Source organism: Homo sapiens, chromosome 17, assembly GCF_000001405.40.
Source record: "Homo sapiens chromosome 17, GRCh38.p14 Primary Assembly".
NCBI classification, from domain to species: domain Eukaryota; kingdom Metazoa; phylum Chordata; class Mammalia; order Primates; family Hominidae; genus Homo; species Homo sapiens.
In genome coordinates this window covers 66,577,029-66,597,949 of record NC_000017.11, presented here as the reverse complement: position 1 = coordinate 66,597,949, position 20,921 = coordinate 66,577,029, and the positions used below count along the sequence as shown (strand labels likewise).

The 20,921-nt window shown below is 45.2% G+C and overlaps 1 protein-coding gene across 11 annotated transcripts in view, besides 1 other annotated feature; it reads right to left on the bottom strand.

Annotated features, from left to right (window-relative positions):
* The window catches only part of PRKCA (protein kinase C alpha), a 508,131-nt gene that overhangs the window by 212,794 nt on the left and 274,416 nt on the right, over positions 1-20,921 (bottom strand). The gene's annotated exons all lie outside the window — the stretch shown is intronic.
* Positions 19,430-20,390: an enhancer, noted in NCBI's record as "H3K4me1 hESC enhancer chr17:64573678-64574638 (GRCh37/hg19 assembly coordinates)". NCBI's record gives its function as "activates a minimal SCP1, AML or CMV promoter by ChIP-STARR-seq in naive H9 embryonic stem cells {active_cell/tissue: H9 hESC(naive)}" and the evidence as "EXISTENCE:reporter gene assay evidence [ECO:0000049][PMID:30033119]".

The window sequence follows — 20,921 nt, the reverse complement described above, 5'->3', positions numbered from 1 at the left end:
AACAGAGATATAGATCAATGGAACAGAACAGAGCCCTCAGAAATAATGCTGCGTATCTACAACTATCTGATCTTTGACAAACCTGAGAAAAACAAGCAATGGGGAAAGGATTCCCTATTTAATAAATGGTGCTGGGAAAACTGGCTAGCCATATGTAGAAAGCTGAAACTGGATCCCTTCCCTACACCTTATACAAAAATCAATTCAAGATGGATTAAAGATTTAAACGTTAGACCTAAAACCATAAAAACCCTAGAAGAAAACCTAGGCATTACCATTCAGGACATAGGCGTGGGCAAGGACTTCATGTCCAAAACACCAAAAGCAATGGCAACAAAAGCCAAAATTGACAAATGGGATCTAATTAAACTAAAGAGCTTCTGCACAGCAAAAGAAACTACCATCAGAGTGAACAGGCAACCTACAAAATGGGAGAAACTTTTCGCAACCTACTCATCTGACAAAGGGCTAATATCCAGAATCTACAATGAACTCAAACAAATTTACAAGAAAAAAACAAACAACCCCATCAAAAAGTGGGCGAAGGACATGAACAGACACTTCTCAAAAGAAGACATTTATGCAGCCAAAAAACACATGAAGAAATGCTCATCATCACTGGCCATCAGAGAAATGCAAATCAAAACCACTATGAGATATCATCTCACACCAGTTAGAATGGCAATCATTAAAAAGTCAGGAAACAACAGGTGCTGGAGAGGATGTGGAGAAATAGGAACACTTTTACACTGTTGGTGGGACTGTAAACTAGTTCAACCATTGTGGAAGTCAGTGTGGCGATTCCTCAGGGATCTAGAACTAGAAATACCATTTGACCCAGCCATCCCATTACTGGGTATATACCCAAAGGACTATAAATCATGCTGCTATAAAGACACATGCACACGTATGTTTATTGCGGCACTATTCACAATAGCAAAGACTTGGAACCAACCCAAATGTCCAACAATGATAGACTGGATTAAGAAAATGTGGCACATATACACCATGGAATACTATACAGCCATAAAAAATGATGAGTTCATGTCCTTTGTAGGGACATGGATGAAATTGGAAACCATCATTCTCAGTAAACTATCGCAAGAACAAAAAACCAAACACCGCATATTCTCACTCATAGGTGGGAATTGAACAATGAGATCACATGGACACAGGAAGGGGAATATCACACTCTGGGGACTGTGGTGGGGTCGGGGGAGGGGGGAGGGATAGCATTGGGAGATATACCTAATGCTAGATGACACGTTAGTGGGTGCAGCGCACCAGCATGGCACATGTATACATATGTAACTAACCTGCACAATGTGCACATGTACCCTAAAACTTAGAGTATAATAAAAAAAAAAAAAAAAAAAAAGGTTTAATATTTTTTCAATTTCCTACAAAGATTCTGAACATCTGATATGAACTAAAATCTTCCCCTTTCCATCATGCACTGAAGAAGATACTGATCACTCCAGAAAGGATGGGGATGTGGAGGGTGTAATGTCACTGGGATGGGGATGAAGTGGAGCAGAGCCTGGCTCTGAACAGCCCAGCGGTGAAGGCAGGGGGGCAAAGGAAAAACGCATCCAATTGAACCTTACATGACTAAATTACAGTTCTGACTTTTCCTGCCCTGTTCTTGCTTGCTTTTTCTTATCTTGCTTTTATTGGGCTCCAAGGAACCACAATAAACAGCAAAGTTACAAAGCGGTAAATACGCCAGAAGGTACCCATCAAGAAGTATAATAACGTTTATCAAGCCAGCCCTGGGAGATGAATGACAGGCACCACAACCACCTGCTAGTTACAGAGACTAAGGGAGCAAGCACACGGAAAGAAGTGTTGCTGACAACGTGCTAGCCGGCTCCACACGCAGCTGTGCAAACGGGGTCCCTGGGAATGAAAGGAGGGCCTGAGGCGACCCACCACCCATCCCTACAGGATGAGCCAGCTCTCTTTCTAGCACTTCTGATTTTCCAACTGCGAAAAATGGGCCTGTTACATTTCCAAGGCTTGATGCCGTACGCCTTTGCAGTCAACACAACATGGGATCGGTGGTAATAGATTTAACCTTTTTGATGCACGTTTGCTATGATATTGTAGTGGGTGGAATTGCATCCCTTGAAAAGACATGCCCAAGTCCTAATCCCTGGTATCTGTGAATGTGACTTTATTTGAAAATAAATAAATTTGGCAGGGCGTGGTGGCTCACGCCTATAATCCAGGAGGCCGAGGCGGGCGGATCACGAGGTCAGGAGATTGAAACCATCCTAGCTAACATGGTGAAACCCTGTCTCTACCAAAGATACAAAAAAAATTGGCTGGGCTTGATGGCGGGCACCTGTAGTCCCAGCTACTTGGGAGGCTGAGGCAGGAGAATAGCGTGAACCTGGGAGGCGGAGCTTGCAGTGAGCCGAGATTGCGCCACTGCACTCCAGCCTGGGTGACAGAGCAAGACTGTCTCAAAAAAAAAAAAAAAAGAAGGAAAAGAAAATAAAATAGAGTTTTTGCAAATATACCTAAGTTGAGGATCTTGAGATAAGGTGATCTAGAATTTAGGATGGGCCCTAAATTCAACGACTGATGTACTTGCGAAAGAAAAGTGAGGGAAGGCCAGGTGCAGTGGCTCACACCTGTAATCCTAGCATTTTGGGGGGCCAAGGTGAAAGGCTTGCTTGAGCCCAGGAGTTTGAGGATACAGCGAGCTAAGATCACACCACCATACTCCAGCCTGGGCAACAGAGTGAGATCTTATCTATAATTTTTTAAAAAAGAAGAAGGAGATTTGAAAATTGGAGGAACAGGGAAGAGGGTCATGTGAAGACAGGGGCAGACATTAGAATAATGCATCGTCAAAGCAAAGACTGGCAAAGACTGCTGAACACCAGCAGAAACTAGGAGGGAGTCATGGGATGGAAGGAACCACCTTGTTTTCTGCCAGTCTCTTGATTTTGGACTTCTGGTTCCCTGAACTGTGAGAGAATACATGTCTATTGTTTTCAGCCACCGAAATGTGGCAATTTGTTATGGCAGCCCTAGGAAACTAACACAGACATTAATTAATTCCCTCAGTGAGAGTATATATAAAGGTTTCTATCTTGGTCCTTAACTGAGGAATGTGGATCAGTGAGGCACCTGCAGTTCTGTGGCCAACCTGATCTATGCAGTTTTGCAGCAGAGAACACGATGTTCTGGGCCCCGTGTGGTAGAGAGGAGCTGGGTTCCATCTCCATTCGTAATTTATTTTCCCCAGGAACTGGGAAGTCATTTTCTTGGATCTGGGGAATTTAACTGTAAATGTGCCAAAAACAAACAAATAAATTAAAAAAAAACCCACATGTTGCACATGAAGATGATTGTCCTGTGATTTCCCAGAACGTGTCAGGCAATAACACGCTGAGTAATGTATCTTTCCTAGAGTGCCTGAGTTTGCCCTTCATTGAAGTCATCATTCAGACCATCATGGTGAAGAAATAAAGAGACGCTGGAAACTGATCACCAATCTAAAAATAAAGAGGCCATCTGGACAAGTAATCTACAGCTTTGTTCGTTCTGTTGAGCATCATCAAGCAGGGGCCGAAAGTTGGTAAATTTAGGCTCTAAAACATCCTGCAGTCCTTAGACCACCCCACCCAACCAACATATGCCAGGAAGAGCTGTCATCACTAACACTGGGCAACGCGATCAGATTTGGGCTTTGGGGATCCAAGATCTTCTTCCCACAGTGTCCTTGGATCTCCCTGTGAAATACTCCAGTGGAAGAGCCATGGTTGGGAAAAAGAGAAAGGCTTGGAATCCTCCATTGTACCAGACCTTCAGGGAAACCACCAATGTGGGATAGATTTACTCTTTTTTTCTGAGACGGAGTTTCATTCTTGTTGCCTAGGCTGGAGTGCAATGGTGCGATCTCAGCTCACTGCAACCTCTGCTTCCCAGGTTCAAGTGATTCTCCTACCTCAGCCTCCCGAGCAGCTGGGATTACAGGCAGCCGCCACCATGCCTGGCTAATTTTTTGTATTTTTAGTAGAGACGGGGTTTTTCCATGTTGGCCAGGCTGGTCATGAACTCCTGACCTCAGGTGATCCATCTGCCTCGGCCTCCCAAAGTGCTGGGATTACAGGCGTGGGCCCCCACACCCAGCCAGATAAATTTACTTTTACACCAAGAGATGTCTGCCTGAATCTTTGCCCTCCAAATATAGGGAGAGTCTGGCAAGATGGGCAGAACATTGGAACAGTTCTAGAAGCAGGGGTTTCCTTTTCCCATTCTGCTAGACAGAAAGAATGGATTAAAAACATCTTCATGTCCATGACAAAGAATCTGCTCTTTGTCCCCAAGTAGTCATTCTCCTCTTCTTTTAGTGATAGGAACCCCTCCTCCCTCCACCCCCAAGTTTCAGCTGTGCATGTGGCCTCCAGCTGGGGACTCCATTTGCCTGCCTCTCTTGCAGTTATATGCAACTGCTTTACTGGGCTTGGGCTAGTGGGCTGTGCACAGAGTGCTGTGATGCTTATGGGTCTTGGCCTCAAGACACAGAGCTTTGGTGCCTCATCCTCTTCCTCCACTTCCATGCACACACAGTAGCAATCCAGCTTCCACCAAGCAAACCAGGAAAGCACTCAGGAAAAACAACAGAGCATCAGGATGGAAGCAGCTCAGGTCCCTGAATGACCACATGGAGCCATGCCACCCCACCAAGGACTGCTACATGGGAGGAAACACCGACTTCTCTCTTTCCTTAGCCACTAATTTCATATGTCTTTATTACAGCAGCTTAGTCTTCACCCTGACGCAACCTCAAGATCAGACATTTAAACTCTAAATAAATGTTTCTTTATTTAATAAAATGAATTGGGCCGGGCACGGTGGCTCATGCCTATAATCCCAGCACTTTGGTAGGCTGAGGCGGGTGGATCATGAGGTCGGGAGTTCGAGACCAGCCTGACCAATGTGGTGAAACCCTGTCTCTACTAAAAATACAAAATTATCTGAGTGTGGTGGCACATGCCTGTAATCCCAGCTACTCGGGAGGCTGAGGCAGGAGAATCGCTTGAACCCAGGAGATGGAAGTTGCAGTGAGCCGAGATTGCGCCACTGCACTCCAGCCTGGGCGACAGAGCGAGACTTTGTCTCAAAAAATAAAAAATAAATAAATAAAAATGAATCGATGTTTTTTGGTTATGAACAATTTAGAAAACAAATCACATAATTCAACTGCATCACAGTTTGCATCTGCACAACAAAAGGATTGGAGTCAGTTTAAACAACTCACTGACTAGCAGCCTAGAAGGAATTTTCAGGAGAACCGTTCATGCTCCAGTCTTGCCTGAGTGTGATCTACCACGCCACTCAGACCAAGTCATCTTATCTCCTTTTCTTTGTGTACATGAAGTCTGTGATTCCTTGGACGCACCGGCGAAAAACAAGAACAAAGGAGGAAGTTTTACATGAAATTAATTTATATAGTCTTTGGAAATGTACCAGGCTTATGTCTTTGCTTCCTTTCTTTTTCTATTTTTTGAGGAGGGTGGGTGTAAAAATAAACTTTTCTTTGATAAAATGGTGATTTGGCCAATGGTAACTTTTTTTTTTTTTTTTTTGAGACGGATCACCCAGACTGGAGTGCAGTGGTGCAATCTTGGCTCATGGCAACCTCTACCTCTTGGGTTCAAGCGATTCTCCTGCCTCAGCCTCCCAAGTAGCTGGGACTACAGGCATGTAGCACCATGCCCGGCTAATTTTTGTATTTGTAGTAGAGACGGGGTTTTGCCATGTTAACCAGGCTGGTCTCAAACTCCTGACCTCAGGTGATCTGCCTGCCTCGGCCTCTCAAAGTACTGGAATTACAGGCATGAACCACAGAGCTCAGCTGGTAACTTTTAATAATGTCTTTATTTAGAAAAATTAAAATTTACTCTGATGTTGATCCTATCCATTAAAATATTGCATCCTAGGCCAAGAAACCCCCAAAGCTAGGACCAGACACTCTTGGGTCTAACGTTCTAGAACCCCTGGATGCACAAAGATCATCTAAGAGCAAAGGCAACTGGCTTCAGCAAAGGTTCGGCAGGGATGACTGCTCTCTCAACATGGTTATGTTTAGGTTTTTATAAAAGGACCCTCTCTGCATGGGAGTCGGCCATAGTGCAGCAATAGGATGACCTGGGAGACAGCTCTGGACATAGGCTTCCAGGACAACTCCACAAGGCTGTCGAGGGCAACAGAGCTTCTACTCATTTCCTATAGCAGCAAACCAACTTTTTCTTCCAACCTTACACGGAAAAAGCAAATCCTCATGGCCTATAATTAAACCACCAAAGTGGGGGCACTTTTACTGGGAAGAAACTATTTAGGAAGTACCAGAACAATGAATGAAAACTATCTTAAAACAAGAACTTGATTTTAGGATGCTTTTAAATGGCTGAGGGAATGATTCTTTTTCTGTTCTAACAGTTTCCTTGTAAGTATTAACAAGCTGCAAATATGGCCAGGCACAGTGGCTCACACCTGTAATCCTAACACCCTGGGAGACCAAAGTGGGAGGATCATTTGAGCCCGGGAGTTCAAGACCAGCCTGGGCAACACGGCAAGACCTCATCCCTACTAAAATAAAAAAAAAAAAAATTAGCTGGGCATGGTGGTGCACGCCTGTAGTCCTAGGTACTTGTGGGGCTGAGGAAGGACAATTGCTTGAGGCTGGGAAGTCAAGGCTACAGCGAGCCCTGATCATGCCGCTACATTCCAGCCTGGGTAACAGGGCAAGACCCTGTCTTTAAAACAACAACAACAAAAAGTTGTAAACAACAACAACAATAATAAAAGCTTACATGTATTGAGCATTGACCACACCAAGTCACAGATGTCACAGATGTGGAAAATGCGGTACAGGGGGTTGAGTCACTTGTCTGAGGTTACAGAGCTGGAAATGGCAGGCCTGGGATTTGAACCCAGGCCATAAGCAAGCAGAGCCCATGTGCTCCCCCAGTGATGTTCAGCTGAGGATTTTAAGCTGCGGCGGTGGGTTCCTGGGCTGTCCACACTCCGGTTCAGAAGGGAGGTCTCATTTCAGGACCGGCATCCACTTTTTTTTTTTTGAGACGGAGTCTTGCTCCGTTGCCCAGGCTGGAGTGCAGTAGCGTGATCTCGGCTCACTGCAATCTCCGCCTCCCGGGTTCAAGTGATTCTCCTGCCTCAGCCTCCCACGTAGCTGGGATTATAGGCACCCGCCATCATGTCCAGCTAATTTTTGTATTTTTAGTAGAGATGGAGTTTCACCACATTGGCCAGTCTGGTCTCAGAACTCCAGACCTCAGGTGATCCACACACCTTGGCCTCCCAAAGTGCTGGGATTACAGGCGTGAGCCACTACGTCCAGACCAGCATCCTCTTTAACATCTTCTGAGAGCTGGTATTCATCAGACGCCCTCGTGCACGCTCTGAGGACGGCATTGGGAGTACTGTGTATATAACATTTACACAGAGCTTCACAGTGGCCGAGCACTCTTCCATCCATTATGTGCCTTGCATCTCATGGCTGTGAAGCAGAGCAAGCTACAGGTATTATTCTCCACAACTAACAGGGGTGGAGACTGAAGTGCAAGAGGTTTTGTGGCTCACCTCAGATACAGCAAGGGCTGTGCTTTTAGTCAAGGGAATCATGTTATATCATTCAGACAGAGGGCTGATGTGTGGAGAGGGGAGCCAGGGGTATTGTCTCCAGAGAATTTCAGGCAGTTGACATCTACCTCCTGAAACTGGAGACCAACCTCCTCCCTCCTAGGGTCAGTTTCCTCATGTCCTGAGCCTGCTGCCTCCTGCCCAGCTGCCAGTGTATGGCCCCCAACCCCCAGGCCATGGACCGGTGCCTGTCCATGGCCTGTTAGGAACTGGGGTGCACAGCAGGAGGTGAGCGGCGGGCAAGCAAGCATTACCGCCTGAGCTCTGCCTACCGTCAGATCACCGGCGGCATGAGATTCTCATAGGAGCACAAACCCTATTGTGAACTGCACATTGAGAGATCTAGGCTATGCCCTCCTTCTGAGAATCTAATGCCTAATGATCTGAGGTGGAAAGTTTCATCCTGAAACCACACCACAACCGGGTCCATGGAAAAATTGTCTTCCATGAAACCAGTCCCTGCACCAAAAAGGTTGAAGACTGCTGCCCTAGACCATGAGCCCCTGACACAAGGGAGTGAGATCATCTTATCATCTTCGTATCCCCAATTCATGCTCAGTAAGTTTCCTCCAAATGAGAGCCCCAGACAACTGCCCCTCCCCATTATGCTAAACACCTGTAGGGTATACAACAAAAGTCGCAGAGATCAGTGTAACTTTCACCCTGCAATTCCAGGTCTTAGATTTTGGATGTTCACAAACATCCATGTACAAGAAGGTTCACTTAAAGATTGCTCCTTATAGTAAAAAAATGGAAATCAGCCACATATCCAACAAAAAAGATGTTTTAAAATCTTCAAGATAACAATGGAATACTACACAGCCATTAAAGCTGCCACTGTAGGAGTGTATGCATTAACCTAGGAAGACTTCTGAGACACGTATTGTGTAAAAAAACCTACAATCTAAAATAAGTATTTTATGATCACTTTAGTTATATGATATTCACATACTCATATGTATTAGAAAAAGTTTAACAGGATATATTTCAGGGTACTAACAGCCGTTATCTCTTGGTGGACAGAATTGTGCTTTTTGGTGGGTTTGTAATGAAATGAATTGCTTCTAGTTTGGGAGGATGGGAGCTACTCACCCATGAGCTGGTAGGTGTCAAGAAGCTAGTCTAAGTCTTTTATGGGTCATAAGAACTTAAGATCCCATGACCTGGAAGTGGGCAGACTTCACGTTCATCTGGGACTTAGGTAATTGTAAGTATCATTACCTAAGGTATCAGCAACTTGTTACTAAAGTCTCAAACAAGTGACCCTGGAGAACCATCAAGAACAAAGGCAAGTCCCTAAAGGTGATGCCTTAAAAAGGCAAAGCAAGACCAGTGCAGTGGCTCATGTCTGTAATCCTAGCACTTTGGGAGACTGAGACAGGTGGATTACCTGAGATCAGTAGTTCGAGATCAGCCTGGGCAACATGGTGATACCCTGTCTCTACAAAAATGCAAAAAATCAGCCGAGCATGGTGGTGGGTGCCTGTAATCCCAGTTACTCAGGAGGCTAGGGCACTAGAATTGCTTGAACCTGGGAGGCAGAGGTTGCAGTGAGCTGACATGGTGCCACTGCACTCCAGCCTGGGCAACAAAGCGAAACTCTCAAAAAAAAAAAAAAAAAAAAAAAAAAAGCAAAGCAAAATAAAACCTCAGAAAGAAATAAAAAAGGCTCATGTAATGATAACTGCATATATGGGAACTGTAATGATTCATTAGTTTAACACACCACCAACTTGTCTCAGGAGCAGAACAAATAGACCCTTTTACAGATGCTTCTATTAAAGGTTGAATGCTCTTCCCTATTTCTCATTTTTCTTTCATCAAAATATTTTATGAAAATGTCAAATCCCAGCAGAAGATAATTTGCAACTTATATCAACAAAAAATTAGTATCCAGAATATGTAAGGAATTTCTACCAATCAGTGAGTAAAGCATCACCTCTCTTCCTCATGCCCCAAAACAGGAAGGAGGAAAAAGGTGCTAGAGATATAAACAAACAATTCACAGAAGAAGCAACACTGATGGCTAATCAACCTATGAAAAGGTGTTTAACCTTCCCAGCAATCACAGAGAGGCAAACACCTGCTCTTTCACCCCAGCCACATGGAATCTTTTTGGTCAACCTGATAAAAGCATTTATTGGTAAGAATTTGAGGAAGTAGAATCCTCCAACACTGCTGGTGGAATGTAAATTGGTTCAGACACTTTGCAGAGCAAGTTGCCAAAGCTAGTAAAGTTAAAGATACATATGACTGGCAGTTCCCCTTCTGAGTACACCCCAGACCTAGGGGAATTCTCACATAGGAGAATCTCACAAGAAGAGCTACTGCAGGATATATATATATATATATATATATATATATATATATACACACACACACACACACACACACACATACATATGTATATATGTATATGTAGATACACACATATACGTATATATGTATACATATACACACACATATACGTATATATGTATACATATACACACATATACGTATATATGTATACATATACACACATATACGTATATATGTATACATATACACACATATACGTATATATGTATACATATACACACACATATACGTATATATGTATATATACACACACATATATGTTATATATATCTATATATCTATATCTATCTAATCAATCAATCTATCTATCTATCTGTCTATCTATCTATATATATATCTGTTTAAAAGAGCAGAAATGTGGAAGCAATCTAGCTGTCCTCCATTAGGAAAACGAACCAATTACTGTCATCATATATAACAAGTAAAATGAATGAACTAGATCTACATAAATCAATATGGATAAATCTCAAATCTATCAGGTTGGACAGAAAACAAGTTTCAAACGAATCTGTAGAGTGTAATACAATTTATATAAAATGTAAAACAACACAAAATGATGCTAGATTATAAGCTAGACAGATTTGCACATGCTGAAAAAGTGTACAGTAACACTGCACATCAACTTTGGGATACCTTGGAAGGAGAAGGATATAAGGGATGATAGTCCCCAAAAAATAACTTAAAATTAGCCCTAAGAAAACATTGTGTTAGAAAGAAATGTTCATAGAACTGTAGGAAAACGGGAAGAGATCAGACCTTAGTGATACCAGGAAACATACTATCACGTTCAACATCCATGGCCCCAGACCTGGATTCTGTTCATATTCTATCCCAGGAGGACAGACATTGTGAGGTTTCTGAGTAGACACTAACCACTGCCTGGACTCACAGAGACCATTCATAATGGCATCGTAGGAGCAACATGGCGGCAATAAAAGTTAAAAATAGGCCCTTCACCACCAACTCTGCCTTTGCTCCACAGCCTCACCTGTGTCTGTGCAGCCATCTAGAGTTCTAATGGCCCTCAGACCCACAACCCCAGTGCAGGTACAGGGTCTTCTTTATGTATCCCGACTGAGTCTGACATGTTATGGATATTCAGCCCATATTAACTGGTGATAGTGGATGATGACCATGAAGAAACTCAAGCTTCACTGGAGTATATACAACTTCAGACAGCAGCAAAACACTGAGCCACCTAGGGAGCAAGCTGTTGAAGGAGCTTAGTAGAAGTTATTTTGAGCTCAAAGCAGTGTTCTGTTACTGAGCATCAATAAAGCACCAGCTTCCCATTAAGGGTCTGACTTCAGGCTGGCTAAGGCATGCATAGCTTTTCTTAAACTAACTCCTAAAGGGACCAATTACTGGTCCAAGGTTGAAAGGATGGAGAAGCTCTTCCTTCTGATAAAAGGAGAGAGGATTTTGCATGCTCTGTGTCTTTTGCAGTGGCCACTGGTAGAACTCTACTCTTATCACATCAGTTGAAGATATTATTAGCAGAAAGTCACGCTAATTCTGCTGATTCCCTGAACACCTGGAATAAGATCTTTCAGTTAATAGTTAATCCTATTTTTTGAGGGCCCACTGTGTACTGAGTCCTGGGCTGAAGGATGTCACAAGTTAGGTAAAGGAAAGAAGGCAGCCACTTTCACAACATTTCTGGGGGTGGGCTTAGGGCTCCTCAGCTGTGATCTCCAGGGGCCACCTCAAAGCCTCATCTCTACTGGTTCAGATCAACAAGGTTATGGTGCCATAGCAATGGCAACCATAGCAACGACAATGACAACCACAGATATAGGTCCCTTTGCCGCACCAGGCACTGCCAAGACTCTTTATATTAACTTATTGAATATGTTAAACCATGGTCAACAACCTGTGTCATCCAGAAAGGTCAACTCCCCATTTATCTGGATTCACCCAACAGATTTGTTAATCCTCAAACATCATCCACCTGAGAGCAAGGCAGTTAATACTGAGGACCCTAAATGACTGCATTCAGACTCAAGGACACATATTGAGTTCCTGCTGTAACTTGTGCACCCTGTCAGCTACTTTCCCATATTCTCCCACATGCTTCTTGTGACCCAGAGGGGTAGACACCGTCACCTTCACTTTACACAAGACAGGAACCAAGGCTGGGAGACATTTAATAATGCCCTCCAGGTTCCAGTCTCAAGAACAGTGAGCTGGATTTCAAACTTAAGCTGCTGGCTCCCTGCTCCGCGGCTCCCCACTCCACATTGCTGGTGCCATGGGGAATGGGGAAGTGCGTCCTTGGGTGGAAACACCTGCCTGGTGGTCAGCTGAGACATCTGTGAGGTCAGCTACAGTGGCTTAAGGAGTGGTCCCAAGTCTTAATCCCCAATACCTGAGAATGTAATCTTATTTGTGCTACAGGAACTAGAAAGAAATTATTTAGGCAGTTAGCGAGGGTAAGAGAGTCCTCAGCAAGGTTTCTGTTTTAACAAAAAGCAGCCCCCAGATCATTTCTTTTCTAGCAGAGCAGCCTGTAAAATCGAGCTGCAGACATAGATAAGCAAGCTGGAAGCTTGCACGGGTGAATGCCGGCAGCTCTGCGGATAGGAAATGGCTACCTGGGGGTCAGGCGTGTTCAACATGGAGGGTCCATCTTCCCTTCTGTCAACCAGGTGTGCAATAAAGAAGCAGGCAACATGGCGCTGGCCAGGTAGAGAACCCACCTGCCTAACAAAAGATTAGGGTGGGGCAGCCATCTTCTTCCTACACTATGTAAATGGCACACCTATCTAACCAATCATTTGGGCCCTATGTAAATCAGACACCGCCTCTCCACGCTCATCTATTAACCACCACCCCCCCCTCCCCATGCATTTCACCATGGAACTGGAAGACTCACTCAGGAGCCCCTCTCTCTCTGAAGGAGAGAGAGAGCTTTCCTCTTTCTCTTGCCTATTAAACTCCTGCTCTTAAACTCACTCCTTGTGTGTCAGTGTCCTTGATTTCCTTGGCATGAGGCAATGAACCTCAGGTATTAACCCAGACGAACAATGCCACTTCATGTAGAAGTAAGGTTTTTGCAGGTGTAATTAAATAAAGACCTCGAGATAAGATCATCCTGGATTTAGGGTAGGCCTCAAGTCCAATGACTGGTGTCCTCAGAAAGACGAAGGGGATTTGACAGAGCCAAAGGGAAGAAGGCCGTGTGAAGACATTGGCAGAGAATGGAGTAATGCAGTCACAGGGTGAGGAACAACAGAAGCCACCAGGAGTGGGAAGAGGCCAGGAAGGATCTTCCCCTGAGACTTTGGAGGGAGTGTGGCCCTCCTGACATGTTGATTTGGGACTTCTGGGCTCCTGAACTGTAATATAATAAATTTCTTTTGTTTTAAAACTACCAGATTGGCCGGGCACGGTGGCTCATGCCTGTAATCCCAGCACTTTGGGAGGCCAAGGCAGGCAGATCACCTGAGGTCTGGAGGTCAAAACCAGCCTGATCAATACGGTGAAACCCTGTCTCTACTAAAAAAAAATACAAAAATCAGCTGGGCATGGTGGCGGGCACCTCTAGTCCCAGCTACTTGGGAGGCTGAGGCAGGAGAACTGCTTGAAACCAGGAGGCGGAGGTTGCAGTGAGCCGAGATCAAGCCACTGCACTCCAGCCTGGGCGACAGAGCGAGATTCCATCGAAAAAACAAAAACAAAAGCCAAAAACAAACAAACAAAAACCAAAACAATAAAAACTACCAGATGGTGATAATTTGTTACAGAAGCCCTAGGAAGCTAAGCCACCAACCTTTACCTCACAGACTTGCTTGAAGCCAAGCCAGGACGACGTGGGGGAAGGAAGAATGCAAAGGACAGACAGGACTCGGATTTGTGTCCCAACGTGATGATTCTTCCTTTCTGGCTACCCAACAGACTTCTGCTGTGAACTCAAACCAAAATCAACCCAGGAAACTAACAGCACAAAACGCCAGCACTTTTCAGAGACGTGTTACCAGTGTCTTAGAATAGTCTTACCTATTAGAGGGTTTAGGCTGTGAGTCTTAATTTTATGATACTTAGCTGCACAATGTTGGATTGCAGTGAAGATAATTTAGTTTAGAGACAGACTGTAACAGCTTCAGGCTTTTTCCCCCTTTCCTTTTAAAAGGCAAATCCATCTTCAAAAAAAGAAAAATACTTACCCAACTTCAAAAAAAGAAAAATACTTATCATCTGTAATCCCACCACCGTAACATAATTATTTCTCATTTTCAAACATTTCTCCATTCGAATAATTAATATTTTCCTTTGCTTCTAACTAAGCAAAGTGATACTTTTTTTTTTTTTGGTTCATTTAACTAAACATTAACCCAGGAGTTGTTTGGTTTCCATCAAAGATATGTGAGAGCAGCACTCTAATTCTTCAAGAATATTTCCCTAAAGGAAACTGACCATTAACTGTGACTTCCTTCAGGACATCACTTTAATTCTCAAAGGAATAAATTCATTTTGCAAAGCACTTAAGACTTGATTGTCTATTCTTAACCCCTGCATTTCAGAATTTTTATGAGTAACAGAACAGTAAAACACTAGCTCAGGATTAGATGTCTACAGCTATTAAAAAGACGACAATGAGATACAACAGAAAATAATCAAATCCTAAAAAAATGCCCATGAGATTCCTCCCAACACCAAATCTGTCACTTAATATGTAACTTCTCTAATCTGGAGATCATATACCCGGGAACCTCAACTATCTCTAGCAAGCATCAGAACCAAGTAATGTGTTTTGAGTGAAAACAAAAAAAATAATGACAGCTAATATTTACATAGTGCTTCCTGGACTGTTTGAAATGTTCTCACATACTAATTCACCTAATCCTCACAGCCACTATGCAGTAGGTGCTATTTCTCCCCATTTCACAGAGGAGAAAACTGAAGAACAGAGAGGGTAAGTAACACGTCCCAGGATGTACATAACATCAATGGCAGGGGCTGGGGTTCCACCAGACTATCTGGCCCCAAAGTCTGTGCTGCTGACTTCCTAGGTCACACGGGGCTCACACTCAGCTGAGGGTGGAATGCAGGCCTCCTCTGGCTTTAGAGAGTTTTAATCAGCCTACCAATCTGAAACAGCAAGGTAGAGTTGGTAGAGGAGCTGACTTAAGGGCAGGCTAGGTGAAGGTACAGCTCACATCCTGGTGGCCACTAGGGGAATGGAAAACTACACAAACTACAGGCCTAGAATCCTGTGTTAGTCTGCTCTCACGCTGCTAATAAAGACATACCCAAGATGGGGCAATGTATAAAGGAAAGAGGTTTAATGGACTCACAGTTCCACAAGGCTGGGGAGGCCTCACAATCATGGTGGAAGGCAAATGAGGAGCAAAGTCACATCTTACATGGCGGCAGGCAAGAGAGCTTGTGCAGGGGAACTCCCATTTATAAAACCATCAGTTCTCATGAGACTTATCCACTACCATGAGAACAGCATGGGGGGAACCGCCCCCATGATTCCATTATCTCCACCTGGCACCACCCTTGACACATGGGGATTATTACAATTCAAGGTGAGATTTGGGTGGGGACACAGCCACACTATATCAAATCCCAAATCCAAAAATCTGAATCTAAAACACATCTGGTTCCAGGCATTTTGGATAAGGATATTCCACCTGTAGCACAGAAGTCCTTGAGTTGCGGTAGTTAATACAGAAGTATCCCTCTTAGCCAAGAATGCCTACAGCCATTTCCATGGGAAGAGGAGAAACAGCAATTACTATACACGACGCAAATGCTGGCCATAGTGTATACAAGACCTCAGTAGAGAGGATGTCATGACAAAGAGTGATATTCAAAATATTTAACAACTGCCACAGCCTGGACACTGACCAACTAGGATCCTCCGTGACTCTTCAGATGGGGTTCTGTTCACAAATAACTAGCATGGCTCTCCTGGGGCTAATGGCTAAATGTCCTTCCTTTTATCCCCATCCCATAGAAGATGAAACAGACCCAGAGAAGTTAAAACTTGCCCAAAGAGACACGGCAAAAGGACAGTGCCAGGGTTTCCATGTTTTATTAAACCATGTTGCCCATATTTACTAAGAAAATGTTCTCAGCTCATCCTGAGAATTTAGATCAGTGTTTAAAAACTTCAGAAAGATGGCCGGGCACGGTGGCTCATGCCTGTAATCCCAGCACTTTGGGAGGCTGAGGCGGGCAGATCACGAGGTTAGGAGATTGAGACCATCCTGGCTAAAACGGTGAAACCCTATCTCTATTAAAAATACAAAAAATTAGCCAGGCGTGGTGGCGGGTGCCTGTAGTCCCAGCTACATGGGAGGCTGAGGCAGGAGAATGGCATGAACCCAGGAGGCAGAGGGTGCAGTGAGCCAAGATTGTGCCACTGCACTCCAGCCTGGGGGACAGAGAGAGACTCTGTCTCAAAAACAAAAAACAAAAAAGAAAAAACAAAACACTTCAGAAAGATTCCCTCTCAAATATGGTTCAAGTTTAAAAAGTTGGAAGAATAATATTTTGTGACAAGTGAAAATTATGTGAACTTCCTATTTGAATGTCCACAAATGGAGCTTTTTTGGAGCACAGCCAGCCTCATTTGTGCATATATTGTCCAAGACAGCTTTTGCATCCCAAGAGCAGAATTGAGTGGTTGCAACGAAGACCATATGCGCCTGCAAAGCCAAAAATATTTACTAGCTGGCCCTTGGCTGAGAAAGTTTGCTTTCTCAACTGATCTAGAACATTTACTTAGGAGGATCACTCTTTCTCTGGTGATAAAAAATAAACAAGGCACTAATGCACTCATAAAACAATTTATAAACAACACAGTCATTTTAATTACTGCTGAATCCTAACAAGTGGCTCTGTGCCAAGCATGGTTTGACCCCGGATGGGTAACCTTCCTGTCATGAGACTGTGAGACTGTCTTTCCACTTGTGTTATCTCTATAATTTCTAGGAACATGGGATAAATCGAGCATGGGGGGGGGCAACAAATCTCATCTTAAACCTACATCCTCTCTACACATTGTATGATCCCATTGGTAGAAAGCCCAAAAAACAGGCAAAATTAATCCAGGCTGTTAGAAGCGATGACAAAGGTTACCTTCACGAGGAGTGCAGTAAACAGAAGGGAAGCAAGAAGGGCGCAGGGTGGCGTCATGTTCTGTTTCCTGATCTGGGTGCAAATCCGGGCATGTTTTGATCATAAGTGTGTTTAGTTGGCGAAAACCCACTTTACCGCACACTGACAATATTGCACTTTTCATGAAGTATGCATGTTTAAATGTCAGTAAAGTTTATATAAAAACACGGACAACTTTCTTATGTTTAGCTACGGGGAAGCTGATGTGTTTGTCCTTGGATTGCTGAGATGCTAAGAATGCGTGGAACCCTGGAGGCGGAGCCCAAACATGGCTCAGTGTCTCATGTGGGACCACGTGGCTCTCAGGCCTATATGGAGAGCCAAGAGGGGCAGCCTGTTCCCATCCCAGCCAGCCCCCAGTGCCAGCCCTGTCAGCTTTCCAAAGCACTGCAAAATCCCAGGGTCTCTGAGATCTGAGTAAGGAATGCTGCAGCACCAGCAGGTCGTGCACAGATTGGCCTGCTGAAAGCGACCTCTTGACTCCCTAAGAATGTGGAGCTAGGGGAGTAATGCTGGTCACTCAGGCTAATAAGGAAATGGAAATTTTAGCTTGAATAACAGACCACTAGTACTCCATGAGTAAAGTATCAGCCACAGGCAGCTTACACTGTGAAAGTCACATCAGAGTTATGAACTTGAAAAGTTAAATTACCCAATGAAACATCTTGCTTCTTAGCTTTGTAACTATTTTCCCTCCATTCCTTTCATTTATTTGTGGAAAGCCGCCTGTGCATGAGGAACCCTGAGAGATGCCGAGACATCTCCCCTGATCTTGAGGATCTCCGGCGCAGAGAAAGAGAGTGAGCCGAGGAGAGAGAGTGACACCTGCACCAGGTCTTGAAGGGCAAGGAGAAAGCACCAAGTGAAAGAAGGAGGGAAGTCCAACCCCCGATTTTTTTTTTAACCTTCGGTGTATAATTCCTCTCTCTGCCTCCTTCCCTTGCCTCTCCTTCAATCCACTGTCCTCCCAACCAAGTCTGATCACATAAAAATCCAAATTTCATCACTCACTTCCTAAACCATCTCCATGGCCCTGCCTCTGCCTTCCAGCCTTAGCTCCCTGGTTTCAGTTCCAGTCACAAAGGCCTCTTTCAAGGTCCCAGCAAGATGCTGCAGTGACTGCAGCTTGATCCCGGGACCCAGACTACCTGGGTCCAAATCCCACCACCCTACCAGCCACGTGAGCTCAGGCATGCCCACTGGCCTCTCTGTGCCTCAGTTTTCACATGTGTGCAGTGGGGATGGTAAAAGCACCTTTCTTGCAGTGTCGTATGAGGACGTGATGAGGTAACACAGACCCGTGCCTGACACGGTAAACCCTTGGTAAGCGTGACCTCTGACCCCTACCCACTGCTACCGTCATCCTCATTTTCCCATCACGACTTTCACACATCTTGATCGCAGGTTCCGGAAACATCTTTCTTCAGGCTCTTTCTCCACCTATTTCCTACCCAAATTCCAGCTTACACATCACACCACAGGAAGGCCATCCTTGACCCTGGTCTGCTTCCTTCCTGCCACTTCACAGCTCTTGTCACAAAGGGTAATTACGTAATTATGGTCGTGATGACTAGCTTGATGTCTGTCTTCCCTACTACTCTGTCTGTTCAATGGGGGGCAAAGCCACTTCTCTTGCTCTCTGCTGTGTGCCAGCGCCACAGCAGGGGCTGACTGTGTACTGACTAGGGAACGCACATGTGCACATGCTCCGAGCAGAAAGCAGCAGCCACCACAGATGCAGGGAGCCCCAAGAGGCCACAGCCTGCACAGAAGCACAAGTAGCCTCTTGCAAGTGCAGAGGTGAGAAGCAACGGTGGGGCCAGAGAGCACTCTCAGAGTCAGTTCACAGAGGCCTGCCTGGCGAGCTGCGCGGGGAGCCACCCACAGGTCGAAACAGATGAGTGTCGGCATGGGGACGTGATCCACAGTGCAAGGGGGCCCGAGGACGGCTGGGAGGAGGCACAAGACCAGAGAGACAGGCGGTCAGTTAGGACACTATCACGACAGTCACAGATCTGGATGAAGAGGACAGGAACCACAGGCCCAGGATGCAGAGGTGGGCCCTGATGTCTTCTACACTAAAGGGTGTGGAAGACAAACATGGGCATCCAAGACAGGGCTACTTCTTTAGAATGACTTGGCAGGGAGATGGGTTTACTTTCTTATTTATACATCACTCAGAGGAGGGGGTGGTTTGTGCAAACCAAACCAAACCAGCCCCAGGTACATTCATGGCCTTATACATGTTTTGCTCTTGTTGACCAGATGGTTTTAAGGCTTGCTGAGACCACCTCGTCTAGAAGGTGCACTGCTTGAACCATTGTAATTTTCAGGTGGTGAATATGAACAGAAAGACTCCCTCATGCTGCATTCCCCTTCCACTTTATCCTTCGCCAAGGACTTCAGGCTCCCTGGAGCTGAAGGGTTTCCAAGGACAAACAAACCCATGTGGACAAACCCATGGGGACATGACCATGTGCGGAAGCCTGGACCGACTTGCTGGGCTCTACCTGCTGCAGGTGAGGCGTCTTTCCAGAGTGCTGGCCTAGGTGGATGCCCCGACCCTGGGACAGACGAGATGAAAGGCAAATATCAAAGGGAGACAATGAGGGCTGTTTTGTTTTGTTTTGTTTTGTTTTAAATTCAGTCTCTCGTTAGCTGGCTGAGGAAGGGAAACACAGCTTCTGAATTTGGCATTTCAAAGGGGGCTGAGGAGGAGTTGCAGGAGAAAGGTTAAAGAAAGAGCTCACGGGGTGGAGGGGGCGCATGACACAAACCCTGCACTCTGGCTGGTCCATGGCACAGAGCAGGTGTGCGGCAGCTTCTGAGGGGGTGGCAGGGTGACAGGGGTCGGAAGCTAAGCATGCAGGATTGAAAACGATGACTTATGCAGCATCTGGGAACAGGCTAGGGCAGCACCCCACTCCCTACCCCCCACTACCCCGTCCTCACTCCAGTGTCATTCTCTGATCTAAGGATAAATGTGGCAGGGACTTCTGGCTAAGGTGAAGTATAAACTCATGCTGTGGACCTCTCCTTTAGCTCTAAATACATGGACGCAATAAAAAAGAAAAGAAGGAAATGTATTTTTAAAAAGATATAGTTCACTTCCATATAAACTACGCACCTCCCTGGGCTAGAAACAGAGCAGATCTCCAAGACGTAACCAGAGCCGAAGTGCAGGCTGGCTGAGCTCTAGGTCTGAAGCAGGCCAGGGGCTGAGCTATTTCATGGCCTGCAGAAAAAGAGACTAAAAGTGGACTGAGTCAGGAGAGCCAGAAGTCAGGGTGGCATCCTGGCTGCTATGGAGGACTCATCTCAAGGGACTCCCTTGCCCAGGCTGCAGTCCACATCCCACATTGCTCAGAATCACCATCTGCTTATTCTACTCTGGAAAGGGAGCTCGCACCTCTCAGGCCCAAATCAGGAGTAGACATCAGGAGTAGAAATGAGGCCTTGACCAATGTGAGAGAGGGATGCAAAGATCCCCATCGCCGGACTCTCACGGAAGACCAGGTGTCCCTCCTGGATGCTCCCTAGCCCACAAGCCTAGTTATTCTGCCATCCTTTGACCAAATACCGCTGTGATTAAAAGTGCATCACAGGGCCAGGCACGGTGGCTCATACCTGTAATCCCAGCACTCTGAGAGGCAGAGGCAGGCAGATCGCTTCAGCCCAGAAGTTCAAGACCAGCCTGGGCAACATGGCCAAACCCCGTCTCTACCAAAAATACAAAACTTAGCTGG